This window comes from Homo sapiens, chromosome 12, assembly GCF_000001405.40.
Source record: "Homo sapiens chromosome 12, GRCh38.p14 Primary Assembly".
Taxonomy (NCBI): Eukaryota; Metazoa; Chordata; class Mammalia; order Primates; family Hominidae; genus Homo; species Homo sapiens.
The window spans coordinates 111,358,997-111,381,599 of record NC_000012.12 but is presented as its reverse complement, the minus strand read 5'-3'; the positions used below and the strand labels follow the sequence as shown (position 1 = coordinate 111,381,599).

At 52.2% G+C, this 22,603-nt stretch overlaps 1 protein-coding gene and 1 long non-coding RNA gene across 9 annotated transcripts in view, besides 2 other annotated features; one reads left to right on the top strand and one right to left on the bottom strand.

Annotated features, from left to right (window-relative positions):
* Window positions 1-12,339, bottom strand: part of LINC02356 (long intergenic non-protein coding RNA 2356) — a 34,050-nt gene extending 21,711 nt beyond the window's left edge. For 2 of the 3 annotated variants that reach the window (NR_187522.1, NR_187521.1), the window contains exons 1-2: window positions 12,280-12,339; window positions 9,530-9,631 (exon numbers count right to left, since the gene is read on the bottom strand). This is a non-coding gene — a long non-coding RNA (long intergenic non-protein coding RNA 2356). The remainder of the gene's footprint in view (window positions 1-9,529; window positions 9,632-12,279) is intronic. The other variant, NR_187520.1, reaches the window with a different exon arrangement.
* Window positions 12,335-12,914: a silencer, noted in NCBI's record as "silent region_4865". NCBI's record gives its function as "represses an Ori minimal core promoter by ATAC-STARR-seq in GM12878 lymphoblastoid cells {active_cell/tissue: GM12878}" and the evidence as "EXISTENCE:reporter gene assay evidence [ECO:0000049][PMID:35858748]".
* PHETA1 (PH domain containing endocytic trafficking adaptor 1) lies at window positions 12,505-20,921 on the top strand. Of its 6 annotated transcripts, none has more exons than NM_001177996.3 (4): window positions 12,505-12,688; window positions 15,343-15,487; window positions 15,949-16,036; window positions 18,137-20,921. In NM_001177996.3, exons 3-4 carry the CDS (start codon window positions 16,034-16,036, stop codon window positions 18,920-18,922), a joined length of 789 nt encoding a protein of 262 aa, NP_001171467.1. In that variant the 5' UTR covers window positions 12,505-12,688; window positions 15,343-15,487; window positions 15,949-16,033; the 3' UTR covers window positions 18,923-20,921. The 6 variants fall into 6 exon arrangements, with proteins under 6 accessions (NP_001171467.1, XP_006719320.1, NP_001171468.1 ...); XM_006719257.4 differs by lacking the exon at window positions 15,949-16,036 and adding an exon at window positions 12,878-13,271; NM_001177997.3 differs by lacking the exon at window positions 15,949-16,036 and having other exon boundaries at window positions 15,343-15,468.
* Window positions 19,188-19,844: an enhancer, noted in NCBI's record as "H3K4me1 hESC enhancer chr12:111799560-111800216 (GRCh37/hg19 assembly coordinates)". NCBI's record gives its function as "activates a minimal SCP1, AML or CMV promoter by ChIP-STARR-seq in naive H9 embryonic stem cells {active_cell/tissue: H9 hESC(naive)}" and the evidence as "EXISTENCE:reporter gene assay evidence [ECO:0000049][PMID:30033119]".

The window sequence follows — 22,603 nt, the reverse complement described above, 5'->3', positions numbered from 1 at the left end:
TTCCCTCAATTAAAATAATGAATAAAAGGAACCCCCCGCAACCCCCCACCAAAAAAAAAAAAAAAAGCCAGGCTCATGCTTTCTGATGTCTGCCTCCTTCACCCAGGTCAACCTTTGACTCCAGCATGAGGGGCTCTGAGAACCAAGATTCGCAGGCCCCCTGGAATTTCACCCACATCAAGGCCCATATGTCCATATGCCTGGCATTTTCCTTTCCTGGTGAACGTCTAGACTTGGGGATACTCCACCTTGCCCTTCCTGCCCTGGGAATGATGCCAGCATTAGTGCTGGCCCGGAATCCAGGGGCTCCACTGATGCTGCCTGGTAGCCTTCTCCCTCCACATCTTCCCTCTGCACTGGCTTCACTATCAGGCAGGCTCTGTCCCATCGGGGCAGGTGTTGCTCCTCCCACTTAACAGGGTCTCAGGTCTGAGCCTGGCTGGCCAGGCATGGGTCACATGTCTATCCTTGAACCCCTCATCATAGCCAGGGGCACAGACCGTTCTGATTGCCCAGGCAGAGGGAATGGGCAATATGCCTTCCATGGAAGAGTGTGTTTGTGTGTGTGTGTGTGTATGTGTGTGTGTGTGTGTCTTTCTGGGGGCACCACACATCTATTCTAATGGGCAATATGCCTTCCATGGAAGAGTGAGTGTGTGTGTGTGTGTGTGTGTGTGTGTGTGTCTTTCTGGGGGCACCACATATCTACTCTCCAAGGTCCACAAGCCCTGTCTCCCTGAAAAGAGTGAAGCCCAGAGCAGGGAGGAGCTTCCCCAGGATCACACAACCAAGAGTCCCTGACCTGACCAGGCATTCATTTCCCCATGCCGTGGGTCAAAGGCTCAGGGACCTTCTCTCCGACTGTGACCAACAACGCATTGAGCCAGGGCAGACCTGTGAAATGTGAGGCACACACAAAGTATGGGATCTGAGTTTGCTGACAGCATGGTGGAAGTGGATAAGAGGCCTTGGGGAAGGGGACAGGGTGTGGGAAGCTCAGTGGGAAACCCTACCCTGCTAGAACATCCATAGCCAGGGCTGGCCTGGGAGCCTGCCTTCACATGAGAAGGTGGGACTGTCTTTTTGTGGGTACTCTCTTCGTCTAACAAGCACTTAGCGAAGATCTGGTGTGTGCCACATGCTGGGAACATGGCAGTGCTAGAACAAAAGCCTCAGCTTTCATGGAGATTACATCCCAGAGGTGGCGCTCCATTCATCCCACAAGCATTTACTGAGCACCTACTGTGTGCTAGGTATGGAGACAGGTGTTGGAGATCTGGTGGTGGGCAAGAAGATAAAGATTCCTGTGTTTATGGACACCAAACAGATAAACAGACAAGAAACTTCTCAGGCGGTGATGAGAGCTGTGGAGAAAATGAAATCAGCAAGGGTTGGCAATGATGGGGGTGGCCATAGAGCAGGTAGTCAAGGAGGCCTTCCTAGAAGAGGTGATTTTGGCTGTTTCACATGTAATGGGTCTCTCCGCATATTTAAAACCAAACTTATACTCTTTTCTCTGAGTCCTGGTCCTGTCCCCCTGCTCAAGTTGCTGAGATGTCCAGACCAGGAACTTAGCCACTGCATCAATTCCTCCCATCCCTTCACCTCCCACTTCTAACCTGTGACCATCTTGTACAGTTTTTCAACGCTGTTCCCTTTTCCAAGCCACCATCATCTTTCACTTGGACCCAGACAGCATCTTTTGCTCAGAATCTCAATGTTTGAGAGGCATCCAGGTTGTTGCATGTCTTTCTTCTTCTTCTTTTTTTTTTTTTGAAATGGAGTTTCGCTCTTGTTGCCCAGGCTGGAGTGCAATGGCACAATCTTGGCTCACTGCAACCTCCGCCTCCTGGGTTCAAGCCATTCTCCTGTCTCAGCTTCCCGAGTAGCTGGGATTACAGGCATGCGCCACCACGCCCAGCTAATTTTGTATATTTAGTAGAGATGGGGTTTCTCCATGTTAGTCAGGCTGGTCTCAAACTCCCGACCTCAGGTGATCTGCTTGCCTCTGCCTCCCAAAGTGCTGGGATTACAGGCGTGAGCCACCGCACCCAGCCTCTTCTTTTTTTTTTGAGACAGGATCTCGTTCTGCCACCCAGGCTAGAGTGCAGTGGCGTGATCACAGCTCACTGCAGCCTCAACCTCCCAGGATCAGGCGATCTTCCCACCTCAGCCCCTCAGTACCTGGAACCACAGGTATGTGCCACCAAGCCTGGCTAATATTTTTATTATTTGTAGAGATGGGGGTCTCCCTATGTTGCCCAGGCTGGTCTTGAACTCCTGAGCTCAAACAATCCTCCTGCCTTGGGCTCCCAAAGTGCTGGGATTATAGATGTGAGCCACTGTGCCCAGCCTCTTTCCTTTTTTTAATTGTGGAAAAGTACAGGTAACATAAAACTTACCATTTTATCCTGGATCTGGTTTGGTGTCTGACAAACACACACACACACACACACACACACACACACACACACACACACCCCACACCTCTGATTTTAACCATTCTAAACTGCTAAACTGTACAATTCAATGGCATTAAGTACATTCACTTTGTTGGGCAACCATCATCACTATCTAGTTCCAGAACTTTTTCATCCCCGCAAATGGAAACCTCATGCTGGTTGGCAGTTATTCCTTACCTACCAACCCTGGGCAACCACAAATATTTCTTGCTCTTTGGATTTCTCTCTCCTGGTTATTTGTTTTGTTTTGTTTTGAGACAGAGTCTCCCTTTGTCACCCAGTCTTGAGTGCAGTGGCACAATCTTGGCTCACTGCAACCTCCACCTCCTGGGTTCAAGCGATTCTCCTGCCTCAGCCTCCCGAGTAGCTGGGACTACAGGCACACGCCACAACACCCAACTAATTTTTGTATTTTTAGCAGAGGCGAGGTTTCACCATGTTGGCCAGGCTGGTCTCAATCTCCTGACCTCAGGTGATCCGCCCGCCTCGGCCTCCCAAAGTGCTGGGATTATAGGCATGAGCCATTGTGGCTGGCTCTCCTGGTTATTTAATGTCAATGGAAACTTTATTTCTTTTCATGGCTAAGCACTATTCCATCAAATGGATGTACCACAATTTGTTTCTCCATATATCTGTGGATGAATATTTGAGTTGTTGCTAGTTTCTGGTGTTTCTGAATAAAGTTGCTATGAATAGTCACATACAGGTCTTTGTGTGGTCATGTTTTCATTTCTCTTTGGTAAATACTTTGGAGTGGGATTACTGGGTTGTACATGGCGAGTTTCTGTTCTTTTTTTTTTTTTTCTTTTTTTTTTTTTTTTTGAGACAGACTCTTGCTCTGTCACCCAGGCTGGAGTGCAGTGGTGCAATCTTGGCTCACTGCAACCTCTGCCTCCCAGGTTCAAACAAGCCTCAGGCTCCGGAGTAGCTGGGACAACAGGCGCATGCCACCACGCCTGCCTAATTTTTGTATTTTTAGTAGAGATGGGGTTTCGCCGTATTGGTCAGGCTGGTCTTGATCCTGACCTCAGGCGATCCACTCGTCTTGGCCTCCCAAACTGCTGGGATTACAGGCGTGAGCTACTGCACCCGGCCTTTTTATTTTTTTTTTGAGACAGAGTCTTGCTCTGTCACCCAGGCTGGAGTGCAGTGGTGCGATCTCGGCTCACTGCAACCTCCACCTCCAAGGTTCAAACGATTCTCCTGCCTCAGCCTCCCAAGTAGCTGGGATTACAGGCGCCCACCATCACGCCCAGCAAACTTTTGTATTTTTAGTAGAGATGGGGTTTCACCATGTTGACCACGCTGGTTTCAAACTCCTGACCTCAGGTGAATCCGCCCACCTCAGCCTCCCACAGTGCTGGGATTACAGGCATGAGCCACCTTGCCTGGCAGAGTTTCTGTTCATTTTTACAAGAAATTGCCAATTTGTTTTCCAGAGTGGCTATACCATTCTACCTTCCCATCAGCAGTATGGAAGTTCAGTTGTTCCACATCCTCACCAGCACTTGGTGTTGTCAGTCTTTTTAATTTTGGCCTTTCTAATTGGAACATGGTATTAGCTCATTTGGTTTCAATTTGCATTTCTCTGATGTGTAATGACACTGGGCATCTTTTCATTGCTTATTAGCCAGTATATCATATTATAGCTTTTTTTTTTTTGAGACAGAGTCTCACTCTGTGTCGCCCAGGCTGGAGTGCAGTGGCACAATCTTGGCTCACTGCAAGCTCTGCCTCCTGGGTTCACGCCATTCTCCTGCCTCAGCCTCCCAAGTAGCTGGGACTACAGGCGCACGCCACCATGCCCAGCTAATTTTTTGTATTTTTAGTAGAGACGGGTTTTCACCAGGTTAGCCAGGATATTCTCAATCTCCTGACCTTGTGATCCACCCACGTCGGCCTCCCAAAGTGCTGGGATTACAGGCGTGAGCCACCACACCTGGCCCATATTACAGCTTTTTATAAAATATCTGTTAACATCTTTTGCCTGGGCCAGGCATGGTGGCTCATGCCTGTAATCCCAGCACTTCAGGAGGCCCAGGTGGGAGGATTGCTTGAGTGTAGGAGTTCGAGACCAGCCTGGGCAACATGGTGAAACTCCATCTCTACCAAAAATACAAAAAAAAAAAAAAAAAAAAAAAAATTAGCCAGGCATGGTGGCGCGCGCCTGTAGTCCCAGCTACTTGGGAGGCTGAGATGGGAGGATGGTTTGAGCCTGGGAAGCAGAGGTTGTCGTGAGCGGAGATCATGCCATTGAACTGTAGCCTGGGCAACAGGACCAAACCCTGTCTCAAACACACACACACACACATCTTTTGCCTGTCTTTAGATTGGGTTGCTTATCTTATTATTGGGTTGTAAGACTTCATTATATAGATCTGGCATTCAGATTCTGTCAGATATATATATCAAGAAAATTTTTTTTCTCAGTTAGTTGGTGGCTTATCTTTTTGTTTCTCTGATGGTATCTTTCCTTTCCTTTCCTTTTCCTTTTCCTTTCCCTTTTCCTTCCTCCCTCCGTCCCTCCCTCCCTCCCTCTCTCTCTCTTTTTAAACAGGTTTTAAAAACAACCTTTATCTTTTTTAAAGTCAATATGGGCCGGGTGCAGTGGCTCACACCTATAACCCCAGCACTTTGGGAGGGTGAGGCCGGCAGATCACCTGAGGTCAGGAGTTCGAGACCAGCATGGCCAACATGGCAAAACTCTGTCTCTACTAAAAACACAAAAATTAGCCAGGCATGGTGGCACACACCTGTAGTCCCAGCTACTTGGGAGGCTGAGGCAGAAGAAATGCTTGAACCCAGGAGATGGAGGTTGCAGTGAGCTGAGATTGCACTCCGGCCTGGACAACAGGGCAAAATCCTGTCTCAAAAAAACAAAACAAAAAAAACCCCCCAACCTACTGAAGTCCAATTTTTATTTTTTTCTAGTTTATGCTCTTTGAGTCTTAAGAAATCTTTATCCTAAAGTTGTAAAGATTTTCTATTTTATTATTTTTAGTTCCTTTTTTTTTTTTTTTGAGGTAGAGTCTTGCCCTGTGGCCCAGGCTGGAGTGCAATGGCGCGATCTTGGCTTGGTGCAACCTCCACCTCCCGGGTACAAGTGATTCTCCTGCCTCAGCCTCCCGAGTAGCTGGGATTACAGGCATGTGCCACCATGCCTGGCTAATTTTGTGTATTTTTTTTTTTTTTTTGAGACAGAGTCTCGCTCTGTCGTCCAGGCTGGAGTGCAGTGGTGCAATCTCAGCTACTGCAACCTCCACCTCCAGGGTTCAAGCAATTCTCCTGCCTCAGCCTCCCAAGTAGCTGGGACTACAGGCACACGCCACCACACCCGGCTAATTATTTTTATTTTTAATAGAGCCAGGGTTTCACCATATTGGTAAGGCTGGTCTCGAACTCCTGACCTCAGGTGATCCACCCGCCTCGGCCTCCCAAAGTGCTGGGATTACAGGCATGAGCCACCATGCCCGGCCCAATTTTTTGTATCTTTAGTAGAGATGAGGTTTCACCTTGTTGGCCAGGCTGGTCTCAAACTCCTGACCTCATGATCTGCCCGCCTCGGCCTCCCAAAATGCTGGGATTGCAGGTGTGAGCCATCGTGCCCGACCTTATTTACTTATTTTTTGGAGACAGGGTCTCACTCTGTCGTTCAGGCTGGGGTGCAGTGGCGTGATCCTAGTTCACTGCGGCCTTGACCTCCTGGGCTCAAGCGATCCTCCTGCCTCAGGTTCCTGAGTAGCTGGGACTACAGGCATGCGCCACCACACCCAGCTAATTAAAAAACAATTTTTTAAGAGATGGGTTCTTACTATTTTGCCCAGGCTGGTCACTAACTCAGGCGATCCTCGCACTTTGTTTGGCCTCCCAAAGTGCTGAGATTACAGGCATGAGCCATTGTGCCTGGCAGCCCCTATTTTCTTCTAGAGATTTTAGAGTTTAGCTTTTATGTGCAAGAGTTTGATGTATTTTGAGTTAATTTTTATGTATGGCATGAGGTAAGTATCAAGGCTGTTTTTTTCTATATGAATATCCAGTTATTCCAGCTCAATTTGATGAAAAGACTAATCTGGATTTTTCCCTTCGAATCTCCATTTTTCCCATTACTTAGGTCCAAAAGTTGAGAGTCCTTTTTATTTTTATTTTTTATTTTTTGTAGAGACGAGGTCTCCACCCACCTTGGCCTCCCAAAGTTCTGGGATTGCTGGTGTGAGCCACTGTGTCCAGCCCTGGGTAATATTTTTATCATTTGTAGAGATGGGGTCTCCCTGTGTTGCCCAAGCTGGTCTCAAACTCCCAGGCTCAAGTGATCCTCCTGCCTCGGCTTCCCAAAGTGCGGGGATTACAGATGTAAGCCAGCATACCTGGCCCTGGAGTTCTTTTTCTTCTTTTCTTTTTTTTTGTTTTTTGAGACAGAGTTTTGCTCTGTCGCCCGGGCTGGAGTGCAGTGGGGTGACCTCAGCTCACTGCATCCTCTGCCTCCCGGGTTTAAGCAATTCTCTGCCTCAGTCTCTCGAGTAGCTGGGATTACAGGCACCCACTACCACGCCTGGCTAATTTTTTTTGTATTTTTAGTAGAGACGGGGTTTCACCATCTTGGCCAGGCTGATCTCAAACTCCTGACCTCGTGATCCACCCACCTTGGCCTCCCAAAGTACTGGGATTACAGGCGTGAACCACTGTGCCCGGCCCCTGGAGTTATTCTTAACTCCTTTTCTTCCTTCCTCTCTCTCTGTCTCTCTCTCATTCCCCACATGCAACCTATCATCAAATTTTACATATATCTTAAATATATATTAATGTGGTTTGGCTGTGTCCCCACTGAAATCTCAACTTGAATTGTATCTCCCAGAATTCCCATGTGTTGTGGGAGGGACCCTGGGGGAGGTCATCGAATCATGGGGGCTGGTCTTTCCCGTGTAATTCTCATGAGAGTGAATAAGTTTCATGAGATCTGATGGGTTTATCAGGGGTTTCTGCTTTTGCTTCTTCCTCATTTTCTCCTGCCGCCACCATGTAGGAAGTGCCTTTCACCTCCCGCCATGACTCTGAGGCCTCCGCAGCCACGTGGAACTGTAAATCCAATTAAACCTCTTTTTGGCCGGGCGCAGTGGCTCACGCCTGTAATCCCAGCACTTTGGGAGGCTGAGGAGGGCAGATCAAGAGGTCAGGAGTTCGACACTTGGACACAGGATGGGGAACATCACACACCGGGGCCTGTCGTGGGGTGGGGGGAGGGGGGAGGGATAGCATTAGGAGATGTACCTAATGTAAATGACGAGTTAATGGGTGCAGCACACCAACATGGCACATGTATACATATGTAACGAACCTGCACGTTGTGCACATGTACTGTAGAACTTAAAGTATTTAAAAAAAAAAAGAGGTCAGGAGTTCGAGACCAGCCTGGCCAACATGGTGAAACTCCACCTCTACTAAAAATACAAAAAATTAGCCAGGCGTGGTGGCAGCTGTAATCCCAGCTACTCAGGGGGCTGAGGCAGGAAAATTGCTTGAACCCAGGAGGCGGAGGTTGCAGTGAGCTGAGACTGCACCACTGCACTCCAGCCTGGGTGACAGAGTAAGACTCCATCTCAAACAAAAACAAAAAAACCCAAAAAATCTCTTTTTGTTCCCAGTTTTGGGTATGTCATTGTCAGCAGTGCAAAAATGGATGAATACAGTAAATTGGTACCAGGAGTGGAGTGTTGCTGAAAAGATAGGCAAAAATGTGGAAGTGACTTTGAAACTGTAACAGGCAGAGGTTGGAACAGTTTGGAGGGCTCAGAAGAAGACAGGAAAATGTGGGAATGTTTCAAGCTTCCTAGAGACTTGTTGAATGGCTTTGCCAAAATGCTGATAGTGATATGGACAATAAAATTCAGGCTGAGGTGGTCTCAGATGGAGATGTGGAACTTGTTGGGAACTGGAGCAGAGGTGACTCTTGTTATGTTTTAGCAAAGAGACTGGCGGCATTTTGCCCCTGCCCTAGAGATCTGTGGAACTTTGAACTTGAGAGAGATGATTTAGGGTATCTGGTAGAAGAAATTTCTAAGCAGCAAAGCATTCAAGAGGTAACTTGCAGGCTGGGAGCGGTGGCTCAAGCCTGTAATCTCAGCACTTTGGGAAGCCAAGGTGGGCAGATTACCTGAGGTCAGGAGTTCAAGACCAGCCTGACCAACATGGTGAAACCCTATCTCTACCAAAAATACAAAAAATTAGCCATGTGCAATGGCGTGCACCTGGTGCCAGCTACTCAGGAGGCTGAGACAGAAGAACCGCTTGAACCCAGGAGGCGGAGGTTGCAGTGAGCTGAGATCACACCACTGCACTCCAGCCTGGGCAACAGAGCAAGACTCTGTCTCAAAAAAAAAAAAAAAAAAAAAAAAAGAAAAGAAAAGAAAAAAATAAGAAGTAAATTGTAATAGAAAGAAAAGCCCATTTTCTGGGGAGAAATTCAAGCCGGCTGCAGAAATTTGCATTACGTAGCAAGGAGCCTAATGTTAATCCCCAAGACCATGGAGGAAATGTCTCCAGGCCATGTCAGAGAACTTCCTGGCAGCCCCTTCCATCACAGGTCCAGAGGTCCAGGAGGAAAAAGTGGTTTTGTGGGCCAGGCCCTGGGTTCCTGTGCTGTGTGCATCCTAGGGAGTTGGTGTTCTGTGTCCCAGCTGCTCCAGCCATGGCTGAAAGGCACCAACACAGAGCTCAGGCTGTGGTTTCAGAGGGTGGAAGCCCCAAGCCTTGGCAGCTTCCATGTGGTGTTGAGCCTGTGGGTGCACAGAAGTCAAGAATTCAGGTTTGGGAACCTCTGCCTAGATTTCAGAAGATGTTTGGAAATGCCTGGATGCCCAGGCAAAAGTTTGCTGCAGGGGCAGGGCCCTCATGGAGAACCTCTGCTAGGGTGGTGCAGAAGGGAAATGTGGGGTTCAGAGCCCCCACACAGAGTCCCTACTGGGGTACTGCCTAGTGGAGCTGTGAGAAGAGGGCCACCATCCTCCAGACTCTGAAATGGTAGATCCACTGACAGCTTGCACTGTGTGCCTGGAAAAGCCACAGATACTCACCACCAGCCCGTGAAAGCAGCCAGGAGGAAGCCTGTACCCTGCAAAGCCACAGGAGTGGAGCTGCCCAAGATCATGGGAACCCATCTCTTGCATCAGCGTGACCTGGATGTGAGACCCGGAGTCAAAGGAGATCATTTTGGAGCTTTAAAATTTGACTGCCCCACTGGATTTCAGACTTGCATGGGCCCTGTAACCCCTTTGTTTTGGCCAATTTCCCCCATTTGGAACGGCTGTATTTACCCAATACCTGCATCCCCACTGTATCTAGGAAGTAACTAGCTTGCTTTTGATTTTACAGGCTCATAGGCAGAAGGGACTTGCCTTGTCTCAGACAAGACTTTGGACTGTGGAATTTTGGGTTAATTCTGAAATTAGCTAAGACTTTGGGGGACTGTTGGGAAGGCATGATTGGTTTTGAAATGTGAGGACGTGAGATTTGGAGGGGCCGGGGCAAAATGATATGGTTTGGCTGTGTCCCCACCAAAATCTGAACTTGATTTGTATCTCCCAGAATTCCCACGTGTTGTGAGTGGGACCCAAGAGGAGGTCATTGAGTCATGGGGGCCAGTCTTTCCTACGCTATTCTTATAATAGTGAATAAGTCTCACGAGATCTGAAGGGTTTATCAGGGGTTTCCGCTTTTGTTTCTTCCTCACTTTCTCTTGCCACTGCCATGTAAGAAGTGTCTTTCACCTCCCGCCATGATTCCAAGGCCTCCTCAGCCATGTGGAACTGTAAGTCCAATTAAACCTCTTTTTGTTCTCAGTTTCGGGTATGTCTTTATCAGCAGTGTGAAAACGGACTAATACATATATCCATTAAATATATATCTATACTTAACCACTTCTCTCCACCTCCACTGCTCCACTCTAAGCCACCACCATCACTTGCTTGGACTACTGCAGTAGTGTTCTCCCTGATCGCCTGGCTTCTACTATCATTCCCTGCCCATAGCAGTCAGGGACCATGTTAAATCTAACACAGACCATGTCCCTCCTCTGCTCAAAACCCTCCCATGGCTCCTCATTCTTCTTAGAGTAAAAGCAAAATCTTTCCTCTGGTCCTTAAGCCCCTAGGTCACCTGGCTTTCTGGCTTTGCCAATAATCTCTGATCTATTGTGTTTTTTTTTTTGTTTTTGTTTTTTTTTTGTTTGACAGAGTCTTGCTCTGTCACCCAGGCTGGAGTGCAGTGGTGCAATCTCAGCTCATTGCAACCTCTGCCTCCTGGGTTCAAGTGATTCTCCTGTCTCAGCCTCCCAAGTAACTGGGATTACAGGTGTACACCACCATGCCTGGCTAATTTTTTTTTTTTTTTTTTTTTGTATTTTTAGTAGAGACCGGGTTTCACCATGTTGGCTAGGCTGGTCTCGAACTCCTGACCTCAAGTGATCTACCTGCCTCGGCCTCCCAAAGTGCTGGGATTATAGGCGTGAGCCACTGCGCCCAGCCAGCTGACCTATTTTCCTACTATTCTTCCCATTGCTCACTTGGCTCCACTGGTCTCCTCGTTGTTCTTCAAACATGCCCAGGATGGCCCCATTTCAGGGCTTTTGCACTTGCTGTTCCCTCTGCCTGGGACCTCCTTCTCCCAGATAACCACATGGCTCCCTCCCTCATTCCTCCAGGTCTGTCCTCAGAGAGGCCTTCCCTGACCACCTTGTCTAAAAGCTGCACTTCCAGCTTGGGCAAGATAGCAAGACCCCCCCGATCTCTACAAAAAATTAAAAAAAATTAGCCGGGTGTGGTGGTACACACCTGTAGTCCCAACTACTTGGGAGGCTGAGGTGGGAGGCTCGGTTGAACCCAGGAGTTCAGGTTACAATGAGCTGTGATTGTGCCACTGCACCCCAACCTGGGTGACAAAAAAACACAAAAAACAAAAAACAAAAACAAAAAAACTGCACTCCCAGGCTTTCTGCCCCATTGCCTTAGCGTACAGTCCTAGCATGAATCACTTCCAGAACTCATTTGTGTTGTCTTGATTCCTGGCTGCACCTGCTTACCTGGTTCAGGTACAGTGCCTGGCACACAGTAGGCGCTTAGTGAGAGGCTGTACAATGGAGAGCTGACCCTGGTCTGTCCTGTTCTTCCTGCTTTCAGGCCAGGACTTAATAGTGATTGGGAGGTGGCGGGTGGTGGAGAAGAGGCGGCAGGAACAGGAAGGAAGGGTTCAAGGAGGTGGGCAGGGCAAAAACAACAGCAATTCCTATTTCTTGAGAGCTTTCTGTTGTGCCGTGCACTTTACATATCATGATGGTCTTTATTTTCCGGATGAGGAAACGGAGGCTTAGAGAAGTGAAATGATTTCTCTAAGCTCACACAGTGTTCAGTGGCCTAGTGCGACTCGAACTCAAGTCTGCCTAATTCCAGAACTTCCTCTCTTCACCTGGAGCCAGGGGAAGCTTGCGAGGCGCCCTGTCCGTATGGAACAGTGCTGTACGCAAATGTCCTGGATTCAGCTGTTTTTTCTGCCACTCACACATTTTTCAGGAATTAGAGCTATTTTTCTAATTTAACTGGGCATTAAATTTGCTAAACCTGGCAACCCAGGTTTAGCAAATATTTTTATTATTTGTAGAGATGGTGGTCTCCCTCTGCTGCCCAGGCTGGTCTTGAACTACTAGGCTCAGGCAATCCTCCTGCCTCGTCCTGGGGGGAGTTCGGACTTAAGCCTAGGACTTCAGCGAATGGCCCGCCCAGGACCCCCAAATGCTTTTGCAGGCTAATCCACGACCTGGGCCAGTCCTTACCTTTGGAATCGCAATGAGCTTCCCGGGCTCCAATCCGCTTTTCTGGGCTAGGGAACTGGGGAGTCGCGAGCCAGGAGCGGACCCTTTAAGAGTGATTTCGAGGGCGGGCTCACGGGGGCGTGCCGGTTCGGGGCCTGCCAATCGGGAGGTGGGAAGAACGCGGGGGCGGGCCCGGCGCGAGCAGGCTGGGAAGGGTTAAAGGGGCGCGCCCGTGGGTCGCGGACTGTCCGGTTGCTCCCGCCTCCTTCCGTCGGATCCGCGCTCTCCCGCGGCTGCGCCGGCCCGGCCGCCCAGGAGACAAAGCGCTGCCGCCGCCGTCGCCGCCACCGGGCCAGTCCCGAACCATGGCCGGGCCACCCCGCAACCTCGCGCCTCCCGTCCCGTCGCCGCCCTAGGCCTGCGCTGCGAGGTAAGGCGGGCCTGGCGGGGGGACATGCACGAGGACATGGGACCCGGGTCGGGCCGCCCTGGGCCTCGGGGTCCCCCGGCCACCTGGAGAGCGCGTTGCGGGGATCTTCCCCGCTGGGACTCCGCACCAGTGGTGACTTCTCCAGCTGCCGAGGCGAACTTGGCCAATGACCACCCTCCCCTCTCTCAGCCCATAGGGACGTCTGCCGCTGGTGGGGACTGCGGATAAGCCCCCCATTCTGCCGCTGATCACCCATCTGGGGCTCTGGCTGTCCTTTAAGGAACTTAAGAGAGCTCCCACGCACAACACACAAAGGGACAGAGAGCAGCCGGGAGCAGGGCCACACCTGGAGCAGCAGCCCCTGCCGTGGACAAGGGGGCTGCCTGTGTCTGGACGGCGGTGCTGGCGTGTCTCTGGGGTCCCTGCTGGGGCGGTGACGGCCAGGCTGCTCTTTAGTGTTCTTGGCACACATGTTTTTCAGCCTGTGCCTGCCACACCCTCTTCCCCACGCCCGCTGCTGGGGGACACTGAGGGCAGCTGGATTCAACCCCAGGACCTGCGGTACTGGCTTCTTTTCGTTGATGTGAGTGCCAAAATGCCATGCTTCAGTCTCCCAGGAGACCTGGGTTCCGGGGCCAGCTGTGCCCCTGGAGATCTTGGATGAATTATTTGCCTTTTTGACAGCTCTTTCCCTGAAAGCTCACTACCCACCAAGTATTTTGCAAAATGACTCTTCAGGAGTCAATTCACTCAGCCCTTAGAGGGATGGAAGTTAACGTCACCATTTTGCAGATGAGGCTGAGAAAAAACTCCGACTCACAGCAGCTAATATTTGCAATCCATTTCCCATAGTTTGCCAGTGGGTTTTCCTTCTTTTAGCTCATGAACCCTCGCCACACAGCCCAATTTAACAGATGAGGACACTGAGACTTGGAAAGGTGAAACGACTTGTCCAAGGTCCTCCAGCCTGGACCTGCGGAGGCAGGAACTTTGCCTTGGGAGCAGAGCTGGGCCAGGCTCCCTCCAGCTTCCTGTCTGGCCATGGGCTGTTGAATCAGCAGCAGTGCCCACAGTGGACTCTGAACTTCTTGGAAAACAGTGTGGGGAGATAAGGCAGGGGCCAGGCCTTCGCTCCAGGCAAGGCTGGCGCCTGTGCCCCTGCAGCTTCCTGTCTTCCCAGTTCTGGTGGAGGCAGGGGTCATGGGCAGAGCTGGGTCCTGTGCCTGCTGGTGACCTTGAACCAGTTTGGCCTCTATCTAGGCAGTCGGGGGAGGAGGGTTGCTGAGCAGGAGGGAAGTTGCTATTCCTTTGGCCTTGATGGGGTGGAGAGACCCCAAGATCAGCCCCTTTATTTGGGTGGCTTGCCTGGAGCATGTGATTCTGGGCACAGTTGTATGCCTCTAGCCAACTTATTGAATCTCCCTGTGTCCATTTCCACATCTGTGAATGTGGGGTGAGATCCCTTGTCTTGGGGCTGTTGAAAGGTTTCAGAAGATACTGCAGAATGAATCAAACAGCTGTGTGAGTACCTACTGCATGCCAGGCACTAGAATTCAGACCACAAACGCCCCTGCAGGCAGAAATGACCCAGGTATTAATTTCAGGTGGAGGCACAGGAGAGGGACTGGGGGGCCTCTTGTGCATAGGGTGGCCAGGGACCACCTCTCTGAGGAGGTGACAGCTAGGCTGAGACCAAAGGATGGGGAGCTGGCCTTGTGAAGACCTGCAGGCAGACAGCCGGGACCAAGTCTTGGAGGTGGGGATGTGTCTGGTGTATTTGAGGAACAGAAAGGAGGCCAGGATGGCTGGAGCTGAGTGAACAAGGGGGAAAGAGGTAGGGAAAGGGAACTTGGAAGCCAAGGGAGGCTTGGATTTTTTTTTTTTTTTTTTTGAGACAGAATCTCACTATGTCACCCCCCAAGTTCAAGGGGTCCTTCCATGTTAGCCTCCCAGATAGCTAGGACTAGAGGCTTGTATCACCATGCCCAGCTATTTTTTTTTCTATTTTTTATAGAGATAGGGTCTTGCTATGTTGTCCAGGCTGGTCTCTAACTCAAGCAATCCTACCCCCTCAGCCTCCCAAAGTGCCAGCATTACAGGTGTGAGCCACCGCACCCTGCCTAAGGATTTAATTTTATGCTGAGAGAAGTAGGGAGCCATGGGAGGGTTTAGAGCAGAGGAGGAGTGTGATTGGACTTAATTTTCACAGGATCCATCTGTGGGAAGTGGATTTCAGTGTGGCTCGGAGAAGAGCTTAGGAAGGAGGCTTGGATCTTACCTTGAGGAACATGGACAGGGAGGGGCAAGGAGACTTATGAGGAGGCTACAGCAGCCATCCCAGTGAATGGTGATGGGGCCTAGAATGGGGAGGTGGAGTGGACAGATTAGGCAACTGATTTGGAAGACGCTGGAGAGGGGGATCAACTGGACTTGATGTGCGATCAGATGCGGGGGTGAGAGGGAAACCAAGGGCCATTTGCTGAGATCGGAAGCACAACACAGGGATGTTTGGGGAAAAGCCAAGAAAAATGTGAACTGCAACCGCGCTCAGCAGGCACTGTGTGCCTGGCCCCATGCTCCGCAAAGTCCATATAGTCACTGTATCATTGTCACAACAGCCCTGACTTAGGCACTGTTACGATCCCATTTTACAGATGCAGAAACAGAGGCCCAGAGAGATGAATAGCCTGCCTGGGGTCCCCCAGCCCAGATGCTGCAGAGCTGACATTTGAATCCAGAGAAGAGCGAGCTGAGGCTGGAGCTGAGCAGAGGGCAGGGAGGCAAGTGGTGGCCTGAGAGGTAGGAGCGGAACTGGGCAAGCAGGGCGGGAGGGTCCTGTGAGAACCGGGGCCAGCATCCACATGGGAGTTGATGGGTGGTGGTGTGGGGAATGCGTGAATCCCTGCGGCTTAGAGAGGGACAGCTGTAGCTGAGAGGCAGGGTGGGGATTCAACACCTGGAGACTTTGGGGGCTCTGGCCTTGGCCTCCCACTAGGTCAGGACAAACTGACCTCAGTTTCTTTTTTTATTTTAAGTTCCATGATACATGTGCAGAACATGCAGGCTTGTCACATAGGTATACGTGTGCCATGGTGGCTTGCTGCACCATTGACCCGTTCTCTAAGTTCCCTCCCCTCACCCCCGATCCCCCAACAGGCCCCGATATGTGTTCTGCCCCTCCCTGTGTCCATGTGTCTCATTGTTCAACTCCCACTTATGAGTAAGAACATGCGGTATTTGGTTTTCTGTTCCTGTGTTAGTTTGCTGAGGATGATGGCTTCCAGCTCCATCTATTTCCCCGCAAAGGACATGATCTCATTCCTTTTTATGGCTGGATAGTTTTCCATGGTGTGTATGTACCACATTTCCTTTATTCAGTCTATCATTGATGGGCATTTGGGTTGGTTGATCTCAGTTTCTAAGTCACAACTCATGTTCCGTCTTCTAGGAAGCCTTCCCTGACTGCCTATGTGGCTGACAGGAGGTGGCAAGGACAACCCCCTCCACCCTAGGACAGGTAGTCTGGCAGGGCCTCACTGCGGTCACCTGCTCCCAGGAGAGCCACCACCCTGACCTCATTCCACCAGGCTCTGAGAAAGACACCACCCAGGCAGGGGAATGAACACTGAGTGCCTACTGCGTACCAGGACTTTATATCCTTTGCTTCTTGAAAAATGTAGCTACCATCCTATGCAGGCTGAGGCTCTGCAGTGGGAGATAAGGCAGGCTCTCAAAATGGCCATGGAAAACCCCAAGGGAAGGTGGCCAGGCCAGGGACGCAGATGCCACCTCCCGACAAGTCCTTCCTGGCCAGCGTTGCCCCATCATATACTCCTTGGGGGAAGGTGGATGGGGTCACTGTGGCCGATGGCATGGAGTTAGAGTCCTCTATGCTAAATGGCACGGGTCGACCCCCTGCCCCTCCTTCCTGTAAGTCAGCCTAGCCCTGGGCCTGCATCTTTCCCCAAATTCTTTCTTTTTTTTTGAGACGGAGTCTGGCTCTGTCCCCAGGCTGGAGTGTAGTAGTGCAATCTCGGCTGACTGCAACTTCTGTCTCCTGGGTTCAAGCACTTCTCCTGCCTCAGCCTCCCAAGTACCTGGGATTATAGGCACCCCCCACCATGCCTGGCTATTTTTTTTTTTTTTTTGAGATGGAGTCTTGCTCTGTCGCCCAGGCTGGACTGCAATGGCGCAGTCTTGGCTCACTGCAACCTCCGCCTCTTGGGTTCAAGCGATTCTTCTGCCTCAGTCTCCCAAGTAGCTGGGATTATGGGCGTGCACCACCTCACCTGGCTGTTTTTTAGTAGAGATGGGGTTTTGCCATGTTGGCCAGGCTGGTCTCGAACTCCTGACCTCAGGTGAGAAGGATTGGCCTTGGCCTTCCAAAGTGCTGGGATTACAGGCGTGAGCCACTGTGCCCAGCCCCTGTCTTACTATTTTCCATAGAACATGAGACTACCTGGCAGACGTCTTATCTGTTTGTTAACTGTCTGCTCCCTTTCACTTGCCAGTGGCATTTCAACACCACGAGGGCAGGGACCGTGTCCATCTTTTTTTTTTTTTTTGAGACAGAGTGTCACATTATTGCCCGGGCTGGAGTGCAATGGCATAATCTCGGCTCACTGCAACCTCCGCCTCCTGGGTTTAGGTGATTCTCCTGCCTCAGCCTCCCGAGTAGCTGGGATTACAGGCGCCCGCCACCACGCCTGGCTTATTTTTTGTATTTTTAGTAGAGAAGGGGTTTCACTGTGTTGGCCAGGCTGGACGACCCTGTCCATCTTGTTATTGCTATATCCCTAGGCCTGGAACAATGCCTGGCACCCAGTAGATGCTTAATAAACATTTTATGAATGAAATCAATCTCTACAACTCTCCAAAGTTGGTTCTGCTCATCCATTTCATGGATGAACAAACCAAAGTCGAACCACAAAGTCAGGGCTGGGACCTGGCAGGGACTGCAGAAGGCCAGCTGGTCTTGTTCTTGGGATGATGGAAACAGCAGCGCCTGAAATGAGGCCTGGGTTTGGATTTCAGCCCTGCCCAACCTGCTTTGTGACACCAGGGAAGCAGTTAACCTCTCTGTGCCTCTGTTTCCTCATCTGTTGCACTGGTGCCAGGCCAGTCCCTGTGACCTAAGGTCTATTGTGAGATAAAGTGAGTTCATTCCTCTGAAATGTCTGGCATGCAGCAGGAACTCACAACATTATTTCAGGGATACAGGAGGGTAGGAGGTTATGAGGCTGTCTGGGGAGGCCCGTGAGACCCAGGTTCCAGTCCTGTCTCTGCTTCTTAGGAGTTGTGGGCGCATAGGCCAGCTGCTTCCACCCTATGAGCGTCAGTTTCCTCATCTGTGAAACGGGGATGTAGAGTGGCTGCAAGGTCCCCTTGGGGCACTGGGTGACCTAGCGTCAGTGGCCTTGTGCATAACAGCCCTTCTATGGGGTCCAGGCCCCAGGCTCCCCTCCAGGCCCCGCGATTGCCACCATGAAGCTGAACGAGCGCAGCCTGGCCTTCTACGCCACCTGTGACGCCCCGGTGGACAATGCAGGCTTCCTGTACAAGAAGGGTGGGCGGCACGCGGCCTACCACCGGCGCTGGTTCGTGCTGCGCGGGAACATGCTCTTCTACTTCGAGGACGCTGCCAGCCGTGAGCCCGTGGGCGTCATCATCCTGGAGGGCTGCACTGTGGAGCTGGTGGAGGCCGCCGAGGAGTTCGCCTTCGCTGTGCGCTTTGCGGGGACCCGGGCGCGCACCTACGTGCTGGCCGCTGAGAGTCAGGATGCCATGGAGGGCTGGGTCAAGGCCCTGTCGCGTGCCAGCTTCGACTACCTGCGGCTGGTGGTGCGCGAGCTGGAGCAGCAGCTGGCGGCTGTACGTGGCGGGGGTGGCATGGCCCTGCCCCAGCCCCAGCCCCAGTCCCTGCCCTTGCCCCCGTCCCTGCCCTCTGCCCTGGCCCCAGTCCCATCCCTGCCTTCTGCCCCAGCCCCGGTCCCAGCCCTGCCCCTGCCCCGCCGGCCCAGTGCCCTCCCGCCCAAGGAGAATGGCTGCGCTGTCTGGAGCACTGAGGCCACCTTCAGGCCTGGACCCGAGCCCCCTCCACCACCGCCTCGCCGCCGGGCCTCGGCACCCCACGGGCCCCTGGACATGGCCCCCTTCGCCCGGCTGCACGAGTGCTATGGCCAGGAGATCCGGGCCCTGCGTGGCCAGTGGCTCAGCAGCCGGGTCCAGCCCTGAGGCCACCAGGGCGCCTGTTTTAGGGGGACACAAGCTCTATGCCCTCTGGGACAGGCCGGGTCCTGGAGAGACTGGGGGAGCAGATCCTGAGGGAAATCATGGGCAAGGCTGGCCCCCAGGCCCTGAGTGGCCTGGTTTTGGGGGATGCAGGCTCTGAGAAGGTGCTGGATTCTGAGTGGGCCTTTAGGACCATGTGACCCAGAAGGCCTACCCTTGAGGGGAACGTCACGTGCAACACTAAGGAGAATCCAGGGCCTGAGGGGGAGGTTTCCTGAGAACTCCGGCCCCAGGCTGGCCTGAGCTGCCGGGCAGAGGCCTGTGCTGGCAACAGGCATTGCCGGGCCTGCAGCTCAGAGGGTCACTGGGACTGAGGGCGATCTGTGGCCTGAAAAGCAAATGCACAGTTAGTGCAGCTCCTGACCAGGCCTTCAGGGTGGACAGAGGGAGGATCGGTCATGGCAGCCACACCTGGGCCTGGCCTTGCTCCGGGACCTGCCAGAGGAGCTGGCCTGGCTCTGTGCCTGCCTGCCTCCAGGAGCAGGACGGTGGCTGGGAGGGTAGTGACTGGGGACACAGGTGCAGGTGTTAGTGCAGGACCGGAAGGGTGAGGTGGCCTGGTCCTCGGGGCTCCTGGCCTGGGCTGGCTGAGGCAGGACTCTGCCAAAAGTCCCCTGCCAGGCCTCATGGTGGTGCTCCTGGTGGCAGTGGCTCTCTGGCCGCGGGCCCTGTCTGTGTCTCCGTGGTGGCTCTCACAGGGCTCTCCAGACACTCCTTGACTGCATCCTTCAGTCTTGGCCCCTAGGCCTGGGGCCCCTTGGGAGCTTGCCTGACCTCCCTTCCTGGGCTGGGTAGCCATGGCCCGAGGTGACCTTCTAGCAGGTTCCCCCAGGGAGGGGAGGCCACCAGCTGACTCACCGCCTAGGAAGGCCCAGGTGCTGACCTAGTGGCGGAGAAAAAGCCGCACACCGAGTGTGGCTTCCAGAGCCCCTCTTCAGCTCCAGGCAGCCCCCTCTAACATGTCCCCTCCTGAGCTCAGCCCCCACCCCCATACTCCTGGTGGGGACCAGGTCTTGCTTGGCTTCGGGGCTGACCGCCGGTCCCCTTTCTTCTCACCACAGTGCCCATTTTTCATCCAGGGAGAACCTCGGGGCTGGGACACCTCCTGGCCCTCACCCTGGGTCATGTTTACAGTCCTCAGTGCCCCACACCGGTGGCCCCCTGAGGACACCTCCACCCTGACCTTGATTTTCCCAAACGCTGCCTCTTGGTGACAGACTCAGCCCAAAACCCCTTCCTTCTGTCTCTGGAGACCCTTGAGCTTGGGGAAATATGGAGGGGTGTGTGTCTGCAATCAAGGCCTCTGCAGCTCACGGCTGGCCCGGTGGGCTGGGACTTCCGTCTGAATTTTAAATACTTAGGGTTCATTTTTTTTTCTCTGGCAACAAAGCTTGATGTTTTCACTGCTTTAGTTTCCTGTTTGCTGGTGGGAGGGGATACGGTCTGTGACTCTGGACTTGCTCTGGGGGAACAGTTGTCACTGCCCCCGGGGAGAGGGGCAGCTTGGGCTGGAGAAGCACAGCCAGAGACAGAGCCCCTCGAGAGGGATCCTTGGCTGCTTCATTGTCTTCCCCCCAGCAAGCCCTGCTCTCCACAGGCACCTCTGGGGTCTTGGTATGGTCCCCGCTCACCTCCTTCCAGAGTCCTGAGTGGTGTGGGTGTGGGTGGCACAGGATCTGGGGCATGGGAGGGGTTCAGAGCTTCCCAGAGCCCCGTGTCCTGGCAGACTCAGCTGGTGGGCTGGGGTGTTAACCCCAGTCCTGGCGTAGGTTTACAGACTCTCAAGGTACGTTGGCCCTGGTCTCCTGGGAGAGAGGGGTGAGGGATGTCCCCTACCAAAGCACAAGGTGGGATCAGGCTGCCTCCTGGGTTGGGTGTCGGGGGAGCTGTCCGGCAGCCTGGCAGGGAGATGCAAGGGCTAAAGTAAAATTTTGTCAAGTAATGGCTGATTGTGTCATTTTTTTTCCCCATCAAAATCCTTGATTGATTTCCCTGGCAGAGCCCAGAGCAGGCTGTGCAAGGGCAGGGACTAGTGTGTGGTCCCACATGGCTGGTGCCCTGCCAGGCACGTTCTCACTTCTCAAGGCAGATGCTGGTCCCGTTTTACAGATGTGGAAACAGGCTCACTGAGGTTATGAAACTTGCCAAAGCCACATAGCTAGAGAGTATAAGAGCAGGGATGTAAATCTCTGAAATCCCGTGACAGGACAGAGTCTTCAGGAGGAATATGAGGGAAAACGGAGCCCAAAGTTCCTTTTCAGAAGGTAGAGAAGGCAGGGAGAAGCCAAAGATTTGAAAGCTAACTGGGCTGAAGACCTGAGAGTTGGGAGGGACATTAACAATCCTGATCAGGATGGCAGATGGAAGAGTCGAAACTGCGTGCTTCTCACTGATAAGTTCATGGAGGCTGTGGAGGGAGCTGGAGTGAAGAGGATTCTAGCACCAATGCAAGTTCAGAGGGAAAGAGTCTGTGATTGATTAGTAAAATCTGCCGTGAGCACCATGTGGCTGGTAGTGGTGCTCATGCCATGTATCCGCTCTCTGACTGATTGAGTCTGTCTACTGGGTTAATGGGTTCACAGAAGGGGCTGGCTCAAGGTGGCCTAGCATGATGGACTTAAGCCCTAGGTCCTCTTCACGTGGACTCAGCTTGGGTCACAGGTCTCCCTTGCCAGCCTAGAAAAATCCTGTACATTTAGGAACATGTGGCTTAGCGTGAGCAACCTAAAGTCCTCGTTGTTCAAGTTCAAGAAATGAAAAGTATGAAGATCAGGGAATCATGGCCCTTGTGAGCATCTAGTGCATGCTGAATAATTTTTTCCATCTCTTGTGGGACCACAGCTGACAGATGGAGGCTGGGGAAGTGGCTCCCCACACAAGCTGAGTCAGGGCACTGCCTGTGGCATTTGTGACCGCGGCCACCGTACAGCATGGGGCAAAGAGTAGGGGAAATAGCGGGAGAGAAAAACAGCTCCAAGAGGGAGGGTCAACAGCAAAATGCTGGACATCCAACTGCTGATATGTCAGTGATTCCTCCGGACCCAGGGGAGGTGTTCAGGGCACAAGTCTAAGGGGGCACTGTATGTGGTCAGAAGGAATATTCTGAGAAGCCACTTGGGGTAGAGGGTGAGGCCCTCAAGCAGGACACTGCAGCGAGAGGTTAGGCTGATTGCCAAACATCCATGCACCCTAAATACTTAGTCAAATGCAATCAGTTACGCTGCCATAGGCTCTCAGGGAATAGCTAAACTTTACTGCCAGAGAGCGACCATGTGGCCTGATTTTGGCCAATGAGATGTGAGTTGGAAGAGTCTTTTTCCTTCCAAAACACACACACAATAAAGAGCTCTTCATTGGCCAGGTGCAGTGGCTCACGCCTGTAATCCCAGCCCTTTGGGAGGCCAAGGCAGGTGGATCACGAGGTCAGGAGTTCGAGACCACCCTAGCCAACATAGTGAAACACTGTTTCTACTAAAAAATACAAAAATTACCCAGGCATGGTGGTATGCGTCTGTAGTCCCAGCTACTCGGGAGGCTGAGGCAGGAGAATCGCTTGAACCTGGGAGGTGGACGTTGCAGTGAGCCGAGAGAGTGCCACTGCACTCCAGCCTGGGCAACAGAGCG